This window comes from Homo sapiens, chromosome 2, assembly GCF_000001405.40.
Source record: "Homo sapiens chromosome 2, GRCh38.p14 Primary Assembly".
Taxonomy (NCBI): Eukaryota; Metazoa; Chordata; class Mammalia; order Primates; family Hominidae; genus Homo; species Homo sapiens.
The window spans coordinates 134,693-154,176 of NC_000002.12; the positions used below are offsets into that span (position 1 = coordinate 134,693).

Consider the following 19,484-nt stretch of genomic DNA (forward strand, 5'->3'; position numbering starts at 1 on the left):
ATTATCCAGAAAGCAGTGCAAACAGATGGAAAGGATGAGAAAAAAGTGTAAAGCCAGTACGTAAAGATGCAGTAATTCTACATAAAAAAAAGATTTCTAGGAAACGTGGGAAAGTGAATTTAATCTAATATTGCTGAGGCATGTTAAAGGGTGTGATTAATCGTATGTGCTAAATCACTCATTGGAAGTACTAGTAAAGAATTAGTTGGAAAATAATTGCAAAGTAAGCTCAATGGAATTATTGGTGCAAACTGAATATCTTCTGACTGTTTACTAAAAGAAGGGTGATGTATAACAACCGTAGGTTTTATTCATATAAATGAGCTGAAAATTCACAGTAGCTTTGTAACTACTTGCTGGATAACTGCATACATTCAGGGATTTTTTTCCCCAATAATAAAAACTTTTACTCATAATCACCAAAACTTAGATGGAACCAAGATGTCCTTCAGTAGATTAATGGATAAATATACTGTGGTACATCCAGACAATGGAATATTGTTCATCAGTAAAAAGGAAGGAGCTATCGAGCTATGGAGGAAACTTACATGCTACTACATGAAAGAAGCCAATCTGAAAAGGCTACATGTTGTAGAATTCCAACTCTGTGACACTCTGGAAAATGCAAAACTATGGAGACTGTGAAAATATCAGTGGTTTCTAGAAATTGGGTGAAGGCGGGGATGAATAGGCCGAGTGCAGAGGATTTTTAGGGCAGTGAAACTATTCCATATGATGCTATGATGGTGGAAACGTGTCATCGTACATGTGTCAAAACACATAGAATACACAGTAACAAGAATGAGCACTAATATAAACTATGGACTTTAGGTGATTAATGAGGTGGCAATGCAGGCTCATCAATTGTAAGAAAATGCACCACTCTAGTGGGTGATGTTGATAATGGGGGTGGGAGTGTTACACACAGGTGGGGCTAAGAGTATATGGGACATCTCTGTACCTTCTGCTCAATTTTGCTGTGAACCTAAAACTGCTCTAAGAAATAAAGCCTACTGATATGGTTTGAATCTCTGTCCCCACCCAAAACTCACATTGAATTGTAATCCCCAGTGTGGGAGGTAGGGCCTGGTGGAAGGTGATCGGATCATGGGGACGGCGTTCTCATGAATGGTTTAGTACATCCCCTTGGTACTGTACAGTGAGTGAGTTCTCATGAGATCTGGTTATTTAAAAGTGTTTAGCACCCTCCTCCCTTCCTCCTGCTCTGCCATGTAGATGTGCCTGCTTCCTCTTCACCTTCTGCCATGACTAGAAGCTTCTTGAGTCCTCCCCAGATGCCACTGTGCTTCCTGTACAGCCTGCAGAACCGTGAGCCAATTAAATCTCTTCTTTACAGACTGGGCGTGGTGGCTCACACCTGTAATCCCAGCACTTTGGGAGGCTGAGGCAGGCGAATCACTTGAGGCCAGGAGTTCAAGACCAGCCTGGACATCATGGCAAAACCCCGTCTCTACTAAAAACACTAAAATTAACCAGGTGTAGTGGCGCACGCCTTTAGCTATTTGAGTGGCTGAGGCATGAGAATCTCTTGAACCTGGGAAGTGAAGGCTGCAGTGAGCTATGATGCTGAGATCACACCACTGAACTCCAGCCTGGGCAACACAGCTAGACTGTTTCAAAAAAAAGAAAAAAAATCTTCTTTATAAATTACCCAGTTTCAGGTATTTCTTTATAGCAATGTGAGCATGGACTAATAGTCTACTAAAAAGAAAAAAGGTTATTCTACACAAAGTGGTATGTTCCTCTGGGTAGAGATTTCCCTTTTTTTCCTCCCAAAAATTTGGTTATAAGGATGGGATCCCTCAACTAAGCCCTCCACTGGGCACATTTCTTGGAGTATTTGTAGCCATCTTTAATCAAATAAGGGACTATTTGCTAAAAAGTGTTTCTTCAACTACTTTGGTTCAGTGGAATTGGGTTCCCAGGGAAAATCCCAAACTCTCACTAGAAGTTTTGAGTTACCATTGAGTAAAATTGGTAATGTGGCTGAAAGGCCCTGTGTGGTTTGCTGTTGGCTTTAATGGTAAAATGTTCTGAAAACTCTGGAATGCTGTCAGCGGGTCCCTCTCCTGGAAGGCGTGCTTCACTCTGCCATGCCGGGCTCCAGGAGGATAACTGCTTGCTGCTCCAGCAACTCAGGCTGCTTGCTGTGCCTGGAATGCTCAGCATGAGGGGCCACCGAGGGCAGTTCCTGAAGCCTCTCCACTGAAGGTGGACTGGGAGAAGCCACAGTGCCACGCTTCTTAGCCACATGAGGCCCGTGAGTTTTCACCAGCTGTTCACCTTTCCTAAGTCCAAGGCATGTCTCAGGGGGTCCGGGCTCCTGATCCTCTCCACTTCTGTGGCAGCTTTGTTGCAGAGAATTCAAGAGAGCAAATAAGGGAAAATGTAGTTGGGTGGCAAGAATAATTTCTCACGTTTTGAGGGAAGTAGCCCAAGTTTGGGAAAATATGGAGAAAGATAAAGAAGACAAAAAAATAGCCCTTAAGATTTCCCAGTTAGAATTATTCACAAAGGGAATAAACCCTTATCTGGGGCCACCACCAGACAAGAAGGAACCCCGTAATGGAAAGTCAATATGTTACTGTTGTAAGAAATCAGGACAGTGGAGGAAAAATGAATGCTAAACGAGGGTCAAGAAGAGTTGAGAGATACAAGCTAACTCTAAAGCTTTACCGTCATCTCCAAGAGATTTTTGCCTAAGGAAATTGGACAAAAAGTAATTGGAAAATTGTGGAAAGTAACCTCAGAGCTGAGGGTGGGAGGCATTTATGTGTCTCTTTCTTTTCCCACTTTAAGCTTGTCCTGATCTTTCTTGTGAACACTGAAGGCACACACTCCACAATTTCTACAGACGGTTATCATTTTACGTCAACCTAGGAAAACATCCAACTTTTGGGTACCTCTAGACAACCTTCTCCCTGTTCTTTCTTCTCTGAGGTTTCTCAACAAGTAGATTCTCCATACTGTAGATGGAGTGTTTTCAGAGCTCCCAGGAGGCAAGGAGTTGGTAAATAAGCACTTTCTAAAATAAAAGAACTATCATTATCTATTTGTTCATCAAATAGATACTTAGGTTTTTCCCATATCTTGACTATTGTGAATAATGCTGCAATGAACTGAGACTGCCGACATTTTCACAAGGTCACTTTCTCTGACTATATGCCCAGAGGAGAGATTGCTAGGCCATAATGTAGTTCTTTTTAAAATTTCCTTAGGAGCCTCCATACTGTTTTGCATAATGGCTGTGGCAATCTACATTTCCACTAACAGAGTACAAGCATCCCCTTTTCTACATACCCTCACCAACACTTATTATCTCCTGACTTTTTGATAGTAGCCATGCTTACAGATGTGAGACATTTCACAGTGGCTTTAATTCACATTTTCCTGGTGACTGATAACATTGAGCACATTTTCATATACCTGTTGGCCACTTTTAACGTCTTCTTTGGAGAAGTGGCTATGTAGGTCCCTTGTCCATTTTTTTAATTCGGTTGTTTGTTTTTTTAATATGGAATTGTATGAGTTCTTTATAAATATTGGATTTTGTTTCCAAATCTGTAGGTTGCCATTTTATTTTGTTGATTGTGTTTTTTGCTGTTCAGCCTTTAAAAAGAAGGAGATCTTGCCATTTGCCACAACATGCATGAACCTGGAGGACACTATGCAAAGTGAAACAAGCCAGACAAAGAATGAAAAATATTCCATGATCTCACTTACATATTGAATCTTTTAAAAAAACAGGTAAACAAAGACAGCGAATGAAACAGGGTTACCAGGGGGACTGGAGAGGGTGGGGGATGGGAAGATATAGGTCAGAAGGTACAAAGTAGCAGGTGTGTGGGATAAACAAGTCCAGAGATCTCATGTACAACATGAGGACTAGTGTTAAAAAAAATTGTGCTGTATTTGGAATTCCTGATAAATGAGTTGATTTTAGTTGCTATTACCACAAAACAAAAACAAAAACAAAAATGGGTAACTATGTGAGATGATGGATGTGTTAATCTGCTTCACTATAATAACCATTTTACTGTATATATGTATATATATGTATCTTAAAGCATCATGTTTTACATCTTAAATATACACAATAAAATTTATTTTAAAAATTAAAATAAAATAAAAGCATCTCAAATTAGAAGGGCTCAAGGAACAAATAATATGGGTTAGTAAAAGAAATTGAATCCTGCTCTGGTTTGAATGTTTGTGTCCCCTTCAAAATGTGTGTTGAAGCTTCATTTCCGATGTCGAGGTTTTAAGAGGCGGGACCTTTAGGAGGTGATGAGGTGATAAGGCTCCTCCCTCACGATAGAATTAAGGCCCTTGTGAAAGAAGCTTCACACAGCATTCCACCTTTTTGCCCTTCTGGCCCTACCACCATGTGAGGATGAAGCACTCGTCCCCTCTGAGGACACAGCGCTTGTCATGGTGCCACCTTGGAAGCAGAGAGCAGTTTCACCAGGTTCTGACCTTGCCAAGCCTTGATCTCAGACTCCCAGTCTCCAGGACTGTGAGAAATAAATTCCTACTATTTATAAATTACCAAGGTTCAGGTATTTGGTTATAGCAGCACAAACAGATGGAGATCATCCCCTTTTCACAGCTTAAAACAAAACAAAAACATTATGGACATGTGTAAATCAACATCCTCTCATTCTAGCTCAAATACAAGGAATAAAAAACTCAGAGAGTTAGAAAAACAGAGCATAGTCAAGAGAGGCGCATTTTCCTTTTTATATTCCCAAATTACCTGGGAAAAAGAATGAAAACTGGGCAAGAAATTGCCCGTAGATTTGTACAAGCTCTGCGAGAAATACGTGAGGTTGAGGCTGCTCTGATTCCTATTGTTCCATATGGGGCTGCATTCTGCGTCTTTTCTGTACTTTTCACTGAGGTACCAGGCTCTTCTTTGAGTGCCCCTGGAATCTTCTTTCTTCCGCATTTGTGGTGACGGATCCTCAGATTTGCCTGCTATACTTTCTAGACATTCACAAGAGAACTAAGAGAACTTTTCCCCACCTTTAATTCATACTAATTCAACATGTGAGCGATTTATTAATAGCTGTTAACACTGTATGTGCTTACAAACAAGATACTTTCAATTTAATAAAAATTTTGCTTCTCTAAATAAATTGCAGTATTATCAAAGTGAAGTCAGGAATTTGGGACATTTGTTTTAGGCTGGCAGATGAAAACCGGTTCTATCCTGAAGTCAGCCTATCTTAAGCACACACTATCTAACACATATACACAAACTCTGCCAGTTTGGGGGTTGTTTGGGGGTTCAGACTACGGGTCCTTTCCTATTCTGAAAAAGCTAAGCCTCTTGCTATGATGTCACATGAGGAGTTCACCAGAACTTTACTGTGGTCTAAATAAGCTGAAGAAGTCTTCCAGATCCTAAGGAAGCCTTGTTTCCCCATCTGTGCTGGGTGCCTACCCGAGATGACATTTCAAACGTCTTTTCTGTTAGAGAACAAGGGAGAGGCTAGAGGTGTGGCTACTTTGAATCAGACCCTGACCACAGGCCCTTCTCTGTTGCTCTGGGGACACCAGAGTGTCGATGAGCTGTAACAGCAGCTGCCTCCAGACTGCAAAGGCTCTTACTTGGACTCTAGGATATTTAGCTTACACTTAACGCAAAGGGCTACTGCTACTTTACGAGTCCTTGCAAGTCTGTAAGACACCATACTCACCGGTGCACCGCCAGACTAGTTATGCACTAGTCTATCGAATTGCACTCCAGGCAGAAGGAACTGTTTGAATCTGACCTTTCTGTTGCCGGATGCTGGCCACGTTTTGCTACAGCACAAGGTGCTCAGTCTGGGTCTGATTCGGCTGATATTCCTGGTCCCAATGCTGACTCAACAGTGCTCAGTGACTGGTCTCGTGCGAGACACATGGGGAGGTTTAAGTTCTCTCAAATGTAAAATCAGCTCAGGTGCCAGAACCCGAAGCTGTTATGCAAACTGCATAATTGGCCATTGTCTTACGAAGGGAGAATGTCTAATTGATGGCTAATATGCATTGGGGGTCTGTCGTGTCACGGGCCAAATTTGGAAGAATAGAGGCTTTCTAATATCAATGAGAACTAAAATATCACTTGGGAAACGAACTGCTGTCTTACTAGAGTCACTGCCATTGTCTTTACAGATTTCTGTAATGCACTGTAGACTGCATTACAGACCTAACAAGATGAAACATATAAAGGAAGTAAAAAGGGCTAATAAAGTTTGAACTGCGGAAGTCGAAGCCCCGTTACTGCTGCAGAGGAACTCCTATTCGCTGTTTCAGCAACAAACAACCCTCCAAGACTTAGAAAATAAGAAAGAAAGAAAATGGGGTGTCCTCAATAGGATTATTCCTGTCCCCCAGTTGTACGATTGAGTGGATTTTTCATGCCATCAGCAAGCTCATTTGAACAAAAGAATACTCTGAAAACCTTGGAATTCTACTACATTTGCTATAGGGTCAAATAGTTCAGGAAATGACACAAAGGTGTGCTGTTTGTCAGCAAAGTTATTTGTGGGAAACACCCAAGTTAAGTCGAAGAAGCCCGCTGAGGCCAACATGATCTGAGAACTGGACAAACATGGACTTTACAGAAGTTGTGCCCTCGGAAGTTAAGAATTATTGTTTAGCAGGGATGTGTATGATGCCTGGATGGCCGGAGGGCGTTCACGTGCTAAAGCAAATGCTCAAACAATGATCATATCATTACTGAATTTTATCATTCTAACCTTTGGGATTCCAGAACATGTAAAATCCAGTAGATAAGCCATTTGGTTTCTACGGGGCTAATTTAGGGGCTCTTTAAAACACTACAGAGGTCTTTAAATTATTATACTCTTTATTATCACCAAGCTCCTGGGCTGGTAGAATGACTAAACCACAGTGTATTAGTCCATTCTCACATTGCAATAAAGAACTACCTGAGACTGGGCAATTTATAAAGAAAATAGGTTTAATTGGCTCATGGTTCTTCAGGCTGTACAGGAAGCATGCTGAGGGGGAGGCCTCAGGAAGCTCACAATCATGTCAGAAGGCGAAGGGCAAGCTGGAACATCTTACTTGGCTGGAGAAGGAGGAAGAAAGGGAAGCATGAGGTGCTACACACGCTGGAGAAGGAGGAAGAAAGGGAAGCATGAGGTGCTACACACTTTTAAACAACCAGATCTCGTGAGCACTCACACACTACCATGACAACAGCCAGGGGGAAATTCACCTTCATGATCCAATTGCCTCCCACCAGGCCCCTCGTCCAACACTGGGAATTACAATTTGACATGAGATTTGGACGGGGACACAAATCCAAACCATATCACACACCCTAAAGAATTATTTGGTTAACTTACACCAAACCAATGGCTTATTCGAGTGTTGTTACTGGTCCTGTTAAAAATAAGATCAACTCCTAGCAAGCATGCTATTTCGCCTTTGGAGTTAACATCTAGTGACCTATGAATTCAGGATTTAAGTTCACTGCTTACCTATAAAGGAAAACACCATAGATGTACTACTTAACTGGGTTGCCATCTTTCTAGGCTTATTCTGCCATCACGTGGCAGATGCTGGAAAAGTCCCCAAGGAGACGTGCTATCAATTTTGACCAGAAAAAAGCTACATAGAGTTCCAGTGACAAGACTGGATGATCATTGTGCTAAGAAAGACCCCGCCAGGGGTGGATCAGGAGGTCAGGAGATCGAGACCATCCTGGCTAACACGGTGAAACCCCGTCTCTGCTAAAAATACAAAAAAAATTAGCCGGGCCTGGTGGTGGGCACCTGTAATCCCAGCTACTCAGGAGGCTGAGGCAGGAGAATGGCGTGAACCTGGGAGGCGGAGCTTGCAGTGAGCCGAGATAGCGCCACTGCAGTCCAGCCTGGATGACAGAGTGATACTCCGTCTCAAAACCAAAAAAAGAAAGACCCCGCCAGGTGTTGCTGATAACTCGCCCACCATCACAGTGAAGGAGAAGCTCGGCTTCACGAGAGCTTCGCCTGTGACCGCACCTGTGACTGAAATGGCCGTGACTCCTGGTAAGGACTCGAGGTTGAATCCCCAGACAGTAACGTCCAGGTCAAGGGTTTATAACTAAGAATAATCACAATACTATAAAACAAGGGGTACACTGAAAAACATAGAATCTAGTTATGAAAACTAATAAAAATAAGCATTAAATATCTTTCAGATTATGAGTTTTAAAAATGAGACAGCATCCTGTAAATAGTTTAATGATAAACCATAAACTGGAACAATCTATCAGAAAAGCAAAGCAGCAATATAGATTTGAACTATTGAAAAGTTTATATTCTTTGGCTTTAAATATCTTTATAAATACATTTAAAACAAATTTATATTTATTATATGAATACATTTATTAAATACAGATAATAAAACTTGTTTAATCCTAAACGAGTCCTGTTCAGAATTCCTTCCTTATTTTGTCATGCTTTAAGGCCCATGAAAAGCTTAGGCAAAACTCTGGGTGGGCTTTTGTTACATTCCAGCCTTTGTGAAAGGGCACTGGCTTTTTTAGCTTTTAATATTTAACTTAACCACTCAGTCAGTACTGAAACAGTTGTGAAGGAGGCCTGCATTAGTGAGACCTGGCCCGCCACAATCCCCACTGTCAATTTGCACATGATTTCTACCATGCTTGTATATTTATTTATCACGAGAATCGTAGGGAGATGGGGCATTGTAATCTTCCTGGCTGCTTCCTGCTGAGAGGGGGTCGTCGTGATGGGGCACTGTGTGCAGCACTGGAGTGGGAGAGGTCGATTTCTTCCCAGCGGCACTCTCTGTTTCAGGAGCTTAGCGGCAGCGCCTGCTGAAACGTAATAGTATGCAACAGTAACACATGTAAACAGGTTGTTGCTGTTTTCTTCTGAGGTTTAAGTTGTCTAGTCTTCAGTTCACAGGGCTTTATGAAAGCACAGCTTAGGTTTCCGTGATTTCCAATCAGGAAAAATGGGGAAAAAGGAAAAAACTGAAAACATTATTTTGGAGACCTGTAGCCAGAAAAATTAGAATTTAATCTCAACCATAGAAAATAATAAAAACTGGAAAACATCAGGCAAGACTAGAATTTAGCAAGAAGTGTACTATAGTTTCTGAAACATAATTTTTATCTCTCCAGTTTCCCATTTTTATTAAAAGACAAATCATGGTAGGACTAATTTGCTTTATTATAATTGGTCAGATTATCTGTATAAAGTGCAGCAAGAATAATTATTTTCACATCAGCCTTTTAAACTGGCTTTTATGGAACTTTGTTCTGTAGAAGGAATCTGAGATAAGGCTTTTTTAAAGCCAAGCCCAGCCATGGATTTGTACCATCAAATACCTATGAGTTGGGTGAATTCCTCTCCTTTTGAGGTTCCAAGATAACTTGGGGTTCCTGGCCTGTCAGAAAGTGACATTCTTTACTTACCACAGATCAGAAACCCTGTACAGGGACTGTGTACATGGAATAGGAGGCCAGTTTCCCAAGGGCTTTATTGGCTTTATGAGTTAAGTTTGATTCCTAAAAGGAAAGAATACAATTCCAGTCAAAGCCTTGGTAAAATAACCAGTTTTTCCAATTGTGTCCTGTTACAAAAGAAGACAGATTCTTACTACACTTACACAAATAAGTATATTGCCGTAACTTGAGAATACTCACAAATAGTTTCCAAATTCTGGAGAATACCAAGTAGAGAGAAACAAATATACTCCAAATTTTGTTCATGGGAGTATACTAAGTTGTTAAAAAGCTGTCAATAGCTCAAAAGAAAAGTTTCCTTGACTCTGAAAAGCAAAACAAAGGATTGGCAATATTTTAAGCAAAATGCCAAAAGGATCACTCCAGTCTCCTATTGGTTCAGTTTATGCAGTTAATTCCTGTCCTGCTTGATATTAATGAAAATTTTAGCTCTTCAAATTCCTGAATGTTTTTCCTCTATTCTGATGTCAAAATCTCCAAAGTTATCAGAAACCTGCATTCAAGAGCCCCTGTTAGAGCTTCATAGCTGATTATAAAACCACCTTCTAAATGTAATAGAAAAAAATTTTCTCCTGTCTTTGTTATCTCTGTGTTTCTTTTCTGTTTGCTTCTTTCGACCTTTATGCTACAAAGGCTTTCTTCAAATTTGATATTTGACATTTTTCATTTAATTGCATCACTCTCCCAAGCTGAACGAAAGCCCTGGCTCAAAATATGAGCCTGTTAATCAGTTTCACTCTTGATGTGAAAAAGGTAAATTATCTGGAGCAGTTTGCAAAGGACTTACAAAGGACAGAGTGCTTGAGCTGAGACCCAAAAGATGAATAGATGTTTGCCAGGTGGGGAAGGTAATGAGCCAAAGGAGCCGTGTATTTCTAGAACATATCACAGTGCCTGGCCCAGAGGAAGCACTCAAGGGTTATTTTAGAATTGAATGAATGTTCATAGTTATGGTGGCATGAATATCATGGTTTTTTTAGGAAATTCCAAGACAATTTATTTCTATTGTAGTTCAAATATGTTGGCAATACGTTCTCTTTTTAACGAAATGTCTTAATTCCTTATAATTATGATATGCCTAGTCGTGTTTCTCTTTTATTCATCTTGATGGTGTTTTGCTGAGATTCTTGAATCAGTGAATTTATCTTTCAACAATTTGAGAAGGCTTCAACTATTATTTCAAGTGTTTTTTGTTCATTCTGTCTCTTCTGTTATGGTGAAACTTCAACTACGTGTTAATTATTTTAGAACTTTTGTTATTGTCCATTAGTCTGTTCACAGTCGTATCTTTTTTTCTCTCTCTACAGGTGTACTTTGTTTTTTGAGTTTCACTTTATTGTGCTTTGCAGACAATGTGGGTTTTTGTTTGTTTGTTTTTGCAAATTGCAGGCATGTTGCAATCCTGTATTGAGCAAGTCTATTAGCACTGTTTTCCCAACTGCATGTACTCACTTCATGTACCTGTATCAGCATTTCTTGGCAATAAAGTATTTTAATTAAGGGATGTACATTGTTTTAGACATAATGGTATTGCACACTTAATAGACCACAGGATAATGTAAACATAACATTTATATGCACTGGGAAACAAAAAAAGTTTGTGTAACTCACTTTATTATGACATGTCCTTACTGTAGGGGACTGAAGACAAACCTGCAATATCTCTGAGGTATGCTTGTATATATAAGTTCTTGTCATCTCCAAGCAGACACTTTTACTTCTTTTTCTCTTTGGTTGCCTCTTTTTGTTTTTTGTTTTGTTTTTTTTTTTTAGGTGGAGTTTCACTCTTGTGGGCTAGAGTGCAATGGTGTGATCTTGGCTCACTGCAACCTCTGCCTCCCGGGTTCAAGTGATTCTCCTGCCTCAGCCTCCCAAGTAGCTGGGATTACAGGCATGCACCACCACACCCAGCTAATTTTGTATTTTTAGTAGAGATGGGGTTCCTCCATGTTGGTCAGGCTGGTCTCAAACTCCTGACCTCAGGTGATTTGCCTGCCTCAGCCTCCCAAAGTGCTGGGATTACAGGTGTGAGCCACCACGCCTGGCCTGGTTGCTTCTTTCTTTCTTTTTTTTTTTTTTTTGCCTAATTGTTCTGGCTAGGACTTCCAGTATGCTGCTGAATAGAAGTGGTGATAGTAGGCATTCTCTTTTCTCTAATCTTAAAGAAAAAGGTTTCTGCATTTCACTAATCAATATGATGGTAGCTGTGGGCTTCCATGTAAGGCTTTTATGTAACTTATTGAGAGTTTGTATCATGAAAGTATGTTGAATTTTGTCAAATATTTTCTCTGTAACTATTGAGATGATCATGTGGTTTTTGTCTCTTTTCATTCTGTTAACAGGATGTATCACATTTATTTATTTGCATATGTTGAACCATTCTTGCATCCCAAGGATAAATGTTTGGGATGTATAATACTTTAATGTGCTGTGAAATAAGGTTTGCTAACATTTTGTTGAAGATTTTTGCTTCTTTGTTTGACAGCGATATTGGCCTGTATTTTCTTTTCTTATGGTGTCCTTGTCTGGCTTTTGAATCAGGGTAATGCTGACCTTGTAAAACAAGTTTAGGAGTGGTCCATCCTCTTCAATTTTGGGGGAGAGTTTTAGAAAAATTGGTAGTAATTCTCATTTAAAATGTTTGGTAGATTTCCCCAGTGGAACCACTAGGTCCTGAGCTCTTTTATTTATTATTCATTCATTTATTTATTTATTTTGATGGGAGACTTTTGATTACTGATTCATCTTCTTACTCATTATTGGTGTGTTCATATTTTCTGTTTTCTATGATTCTGTCTTGATAGGTTGTTTGTTTCTAAAAAATTGACAATTTCTTTTAGTTTATTCAATTCATTGGCATATATTTTTATGTAATCTCTTATGAACTTCTGTACTATTGTGGTATTAGTTGTAATGCCTCTTCTTTTATTTCTGATTTTATTTATTTAAATCTTCTTTTTTCTTAATTAATTGAGATAAAGTTTGTAAATTTTATCTTTTTAAAAATCCAACTGTTCATTGATTTTTAAAATCATTTTTCTAGTCTCATTTATTTCTGCTCTTTATTAATAATCTTTGTTGCTTCATTTTTTTCTATTAATTTGGGCTTAATTTGTTCTCCTTTTTCTATTCCTTGTGATATATCATTAAGTTGTTTATTTGTGATTTTTTTAAATGTAGATGTTTATCACTATAAAAATCTCATACTGTTTTCACTGCATTCTATAAGACTTGGAATGTTGGATTTCCATTTTTATTTGTCTGAAGGCATGTTAAAATTTACTTTCTGACTCTTCTTTCACTCATTGGTTGTTTGGGAGTGTGTTGTTTCATTTCACATATTCATGGATTTCTCTTTTTTTCTCCTGTTACTGATTTCTGGTTTCGTTCCAATGTGGTCAGAAAAGATGCTTGATATGATTTCAGTCTTCTTAAATTTTAGACTTGTTTTATGGTCTAATATATACTCTATCCTGGAAAGTATTTTACATGAGCTTGAGAAGAATGTGTAGTCTGTTGTCATTGTTTGGAATATTCTGTGTATGTCCATTAGGTCTATTTTGTCTAAAGTATATCTGAAATCCAATATTTCCTTATTAAATTTTGTCTGTGTATTATTCTGTTCTTGTGCTGCTAAGAAAGACATACCTGAGACTGGGAATTTATAAAGGAAAGAGGTTCATTCACTCACAGCTCCACATGGCTGGGAAGGCTTCACAATCACGGCGGAATGTGAATGAGGAACAAAGTCATGTTTTACATGGTGCAGGCAAGAGAGCTGGTACAGGGAAACTCCCATTTATAAAATCATCAGATCTCATGAGACTTACTCACTACCACGAGAATAGTATGGGGGAAACTGTTTCCATGATTTAATGATCTCCACCTGGCTCCACTCTTGACACACAGGGATTATTACAATGCACAGTGAGATTTGGGTGGGGATGCAGCCAAACCATATCATTCTGGATAATCTACCCATTGTTCAGAGTGGTACTGAAATTTTCTACTACTATTATGTTATTGTCTGTCTCTTCCTTCAGAATTACTAATATTTGCTTTATATATTTAGGTTCTTAATTTATAAAGATGTATGGTGCATATATATTTACAATTGTTATACCCTCAATGAATTTACTGCTTTATTATTATACAATGCCCTTCTTTGTATCTTATGACAGTTTTCAACTTATAGTCTAGTTTATCTGATCTAAGTATAGCAACCCTTGCTCCTTTTTGGTTTCCATGTGCATGGAATATCTTTACCATTCCTTAACTTTCAGTCTATGTGTGTCCTCAAGGGTAAAGTAAGTCCCTTACAAACAGCATATAGTTGAGTCTTTAAAAAATTCATTCTGTCACTCAATGTCTTTGATTAGCAAATTTAATCCATTTAAATTCAAGGTGATTATCAATAGTTAATAACTTACTATATTAGTCCCCCTAATTAGTGGTTTTGTTTTCACTGTTTCAGTTATGCATGGTCAACTGCAGTCTGAAAATATTAAGTGGGAAATTCTTAAAATAAACATGATTTAAGTTGTAAATTGTGTGCTGTTCTGGGTAGTGTGATGAAATCTTGCACCATCCTGCCCAGGAGGAGAATCATCGATTTGTCCAATGTATCCATGCTACAGCAGGTCCAGTGAATCCATACACTACCCACCGGTTAGTTCCTTAGTAGCCATCTTGGTTATCAGATCAGCTGTCATGATATCATAGTGCTTATGTTTAAGCAACCTGTATTTTACTTAATAATGGCACCAAACTGTGAGAGCAGTGATGCTGGCAATTCAGAGATGCCAAAGAGAAGCCTTAAAGTCTTTTCTTTAAGTGAATAGGTGAGAAAGTTCTCAACTTCCTGAGGAAAAAATATTGTATGCTGAGGTTGCTAAGATCTATGGTAAGAAATCTTAGCAACCTCCGCATACAATCTTTTGTGAAAGGAAAATAAATCTTGGGACCCCAAACTCACAAAGCCAAAGAGAAAAGTCAAGTTGGGAACTGGGTCATGCAAACCTGCCTCCCTTTTGGTTCCTAAATAAGATGACTATAAAGATTAAAAGCTACATACCTCCCTCACAATTTGCCCACCAGGAATTTCTTGTAGGCCCCAAGATCTTTATTCTGCAACAGTTCTGTTGAATTTCACCCTGGCAATGTAAGTTGATGCTTATCTTCACAGGTGTGGGACAAAGGACAGAACTCAAAATCATCCTTCTGCTCACCTGAGACAAATGCATATCTGGTTGCTTCTTCTGCCCTATTGTCTGTGTTAGCTTATGTAAAAATGCAGCTTCGCTGGGCCAGATGAAGGCATAAGTGACTATTTCCTCTGCCTCTATCTCACATGAAAATTGTGTATTCAGTAAAAGTCTAATCAAAGACTCAAAAAGATGCAACCGTTCTCTCTCTCTATCCACCAATACTTCAAAAATTATTTCTCTTCTAATATCTGCCCCTTCCCATTTAAATATTGAAGCCCTCAAAATAATCCCTGGAAAAAGACATAGACCTACCTCCCAGGTGCACTTCCTCAACAATGGCAAACAAACCTCCTAAAATGATTAAAACTTGCCTCAGTCATTTTCATTTATTTACACACTTCTAGTCATGAAATTGTGAAGAAGGAAAAAACATTTGTGCTAGTTTTGCTGTCTCACCTCAAATTGCAAAAGTTGTGGCCACAGTGATAAGTATTACAAGTGCTTAGTTAAGATGAAAAAGGCATTAAATTTGTGGGTGGAAGAGAGGAACAGAAATGTGTTTAGTTGGCTCCAGGATTTTCCAGGATTTCAGCCATTCACTGGTGGTCTTAGAATGCATCCTCCATGAAAACCTGAGGACGATTATATTGACATTGTGTTGTTTCCTGGCTGTTTTATAGATTTCTTCTGCCTGTTTTCTCTCTTGCTGTTTTCCTTTTGGTTTGATGATTTTCTGCAGTGATAAGCTTTGACTCCTTTCTCTCTATCTTTTGTGTATCAACTATAGGTTTTTGCATTGTGGTGTGAAAGGAAAATAAATCTTGGGGACCCAAAATCACTAAGTTAAAGGGAAAAGTCAAGCTGGGAGCTGGTTAGAGCAAACCTGCCTCTCATTCTATTCAAAGTCACCCCTCTGCTCACTGAGATAGTTGCATATCTGATTTGCCTCCTTAGGAAAGGCTAATCAGAAACTCAAAAGAATGCAACCTCACCTATCTGTGACCTAGAAGCAAGCCCCTTCCTCCCTTTGAGTCTTCCTGCCTTTGCTTTAAGTTGTCCCACCTTTCCAGACTGAAACAATGTACTTCTTACACATATTGATTGATGTCTCATGTCTCCCTAAAATGTATAAAACTAAGCTGTGCTCCAACCACCTGGGCACATGTCAGGACCTCCTGAGGCTGTGTCATGGGCATGTCCTCAACCTTGGCAAAATAAACTCTAAATTAACTGAGACCTGTCTCAAATTTTCGGGGTTCACAGTGGTTACCAGGAAGCTGATGTATAATATCTTAGTAATAACAGTCTCTTTTAAGCTGATAACAACTTAACTTCAATTGCATGCAAACAGTCTTCCTTTTTGCCCCCAACATGTACATTTTCTGTTTTTGATGCCTCACTTTATGTGAAGCACAAGCACATGCAGATCAGTGAAGCTGTGGGGCCTGAGATGGGACACCCCACTGTGGGGCAGTGGTTCTTATGTCCAAGACCTAAGTGCTCGGGAGCGGCAGTTTAGGGTACAGGTCCCTCCTGAGGGACAGGAGTGGGGCTGGTTCACAGGGCAGCGGCTCTGGTGTCTGAGGTGTGGTTGTGCATGGTGTGGCCATGGAGCTAGGACCTGGAGCATGGGTGTGAGTGGAACAGCTTCAGCTTCAGAGTCCAGGGCACATGCAGCGTTCAGGAGGTGGTGGCCTTGGTCCTGAGGTGACACAATAGTGGCTCCTTCTGGGAGGGCACAGCAAGAAACATTCAGAGGAAGGAATGCCTTCTTCTCTGGGGTGTCTGTGTCAGTGATAGTTGTTGGTTGCCTCAGTGGCAAAAGTTGTCATTGTCTTCTGCAGAGTCAGCCACAGGGACCTCTGTGGCACCCACCATGTGGCTGACACTGGTAGCCTCTGCCCTTCTCTTTTCCAGCCATCTACAGCAATCTCCATTAATCTGATCTCCCCAGCAACCCTTTCTCCATTTTTTACTCTACTGCCTTGTTTCAGGCTCTAATCAGACCTTTAAGCCCTCCCAAGCCCATTTTAATTTGTGCATAGCTGTCTAACTATTGGTTTTTTTGGAAAATGAAGGCTTGTGTTTCCTGCTCCACCATATTGCTGACATCACCTGGACTGGCCTTTTCTTGATAAGTTTTTTTCCCTAAAGAATGAGTTTATTTTTCTGTTCATATTTTGAGTAATTTGAGAGCAAATCCTGGACATTGTGCCATGGAGACTCTGGGTTCTGCTGTATTTTATATATATATATATAAATATTATATCTGCAACTGCAAACTTGTTCTTACCTGCAATGGATAGTGACTCACATATCTGTTTACTCCCTTAGCCCTGAGCCTGTCCTGCCCACACGTTGCATGTTAGCCAGAGACTGGCAGAGTTTACAACAGAACAAATGAACAAATGCTCACCTCTCCAACGCTCTCCTCTCCCAGATTCACCTTCAATTCCCAGTGGCTGCTGCCACCTGGGTCTTTCCCAGGCCAGAAAGGCAATGTGCTTTTCAGTGAAGTTTTAGCAACCCCGAATTACACTATATTCATGGCCTTCCCTCAGGACAAAGCCACAAAAATGGGAAGCTTACATTGTGCTGATAACTTCTTTCATATTTTGTTACTCTTTCAAAATCTGTTGTCATTTTGAGGTAGGAGAATAGGGTCTGGCAGCAGGGAACATAAGGTTGATCCATGCTGACTTCCTAGAACTAAATCAAATGAAAGCACTTCAGCAATGACAGGAATGTGAATGGCTTTGTAACTTCAGATTCATCCTCTCCATTTACATAGACCACACACACCAAGTAACATCCTTTCCATTTACAATAGGGCACATTCTGAGTAAAAGACTCTGTGACTTCACTTCACTCTCTTCATTTACATAAAATATTCGCCAAGTAACCAACGGGAAACGTCTAGAGTATTGAAGCCCCAGAAAATTTTGTAAGTGGGGCTCTTGAGCCTCTATGCCCGCCCACTCCCGCACTGTGGAGGGTACTTTCACGCTCAACAAATCCCTGCTTTTGCTTTCCACAGTTCGTTTGTGTGTTTTGTCCAATTCTTGCTTCAAGATGCCAAGCACCTGGACACCTTCTACCAGTAACAATTTTTTTATTCTTCAGACCTTTCAGGTAGTTGCTTTTATATATTCAGAATTTAGAGTTTCCAATTGAATATTCAAAGCTTTCTTTTCCATACCAGAGGTGGAACTCTGTAAATAACTTTTCTTTTAAAATAAAATTTTGCATATAATTGCAAAAAACCCAAATAACTTTAATCAAGCACAAAGAAAAACTCACTTAAAATTCCACCACCCTAGATATCCCTGTTAGTTTTGGTGAACAGTTTTCTAGACATCTCTGTTTGCATATATCTATATGTTACTTTACCCTAATGAGATGTTACTCTGGGTGTAGTTGAATATGCCTGGATATGCTTGCTTTACTCAATAATATGTCAGTAAATTTTCATATACTGAAGAGTGCATGTCTATTAATGTTTTGAAATTGTTTTAAATGGTTTTACTTTATCTTATTTATGTACAAAAAAAATTGAAGGGGCAAAAGCCATAAAAATGTGCCCTCACCATACTTTGTTTTTCATTCTTTCATTTTTTTCACAAATATTTGTTGAGAAATTACTGCTTTCAAAGTTACCAGGAATAGAGAAGACACCCTAATGGTGAAATTCAGTCATATAAGAACAACAAAACAATAAGAATTTAATATAATAGTGATATGTAGAGTGGCTGCAAAATCTTTATATGTGATATTGCATCCCAAATCTAGTTAAAGACATTGTCAAACAAAGGCACTCCTAAGTTTTGTTGGGATAATTTGCCCCCTGGGAGCAGCAGTCAGCTACAGGTGTGGTTCACAGGTAGCTGTAGGAAGATTCTAGGTAGGAGGCAAACTCTGGAGATATTGGGCAATAAAACTGCAGAATCAGAAAAGCAACGGCCTCTCTCCTGATATGACAGTCTTACCAGGGGGTCCTTGCTCCCAGAGCTCCCAAGATGGTTGTGGGCCACTTCCAAGATGGCGGCAAGCCTCTTGTTCTCTGACCTGGGGTTCGTGGCCTCATGGATTCCAAGGAACGGAATCTTGGGCCATGTGGTGAGTGTTATAGCTCTATTAGAAGCTGTGGGTCAGGCCAGGCATGGTGGCCAGGAGTATGGCGTGAACCCGGGAGGCAGAGCTTGCAGTAAGCTGAGATGGCACCACTGCACTCCAGCCTGGGCAACAGAGCAAGACTCCATCTCAAAAAAAAAAAAAAAAAAAAGAAGCCATGGGTCACAGAAGAGAACCGTGGAACCCAGTGACTAGTGTTCAGCTCGATTAGGATGAACCTGGGCACTTAGCCATGCAGGAACAATGGCAAGCCTTTAGCCCAGTCCAGCACAGCAATGGGTGCCTCACTGGATCAGGAGCACAGCAGACACCCTGTTGGATCCGGAGGGGTGGAAGTCAGTGGTGGGTCTGCAACAGCGACAAACAGCACTGGTGGACGGTGAGCGAAAGCTCAGCTCGAGCCGTAACAAACACGGACCAGAAGAGTGTGCAGTTGCAAGATTTAATAGAGTGAAAACAGAGCTCCCATAAAATGGGAGGGGACCCAAAGGGGGTTACCATGGCCGGCTCAAATGCCTGGGTTTATATCCCAATCATTGTCCCTCCCACTGTGCTCTCAGGTGATAGATGATTGGCTATTTCTTTACCTCCTGTTTTTGCCTAATTAGCATTTTAGTGAGCTCTCTTTACTA

The 19,484-nt window shown here is 40.0% G+C and overlaps 2 annotated features.

Moving 5' to 3' along the window:
- Positions 15,901 to 16,880: an enhancer, noted in NCBI's record as "NANOG-H3K27ac-H3K4me1 hESC enhancer chr2:150593-151572 (GRCh37/hg19 assembly coordinates)". NCBI's record gives its function as "activates a minimal SCP1, AML or CMV promoter by ChIP-STARR-seq in primed H9 embryonic stem cells {active_cell/tissue: H9 hESC(primed)}" and the evidence as "EXISTENCE:reporter gene assay evidence [ECO:0000049][PMID:30033119]".
- Positions 16,881 to 17,858: an enhancer, noted in NCBI's record as "OCT4-NANOG-H3K27ac-H3K4me1 hESC enhancer chr2:151573-152550 (GRCh37/hg19 assembly coordinates)". NCBI's record gives its function as "activates a minimal SCP1, AML or CMV promoter by ChIP-STARR-seq in naive and primed H9 embryonic stem cells {active_cell/tissue: H9 hESC(naive and primed)}" and the evidence as "EXISTENCE:reporter gene assay evidence [ECO:0000049][PMID:30033119]".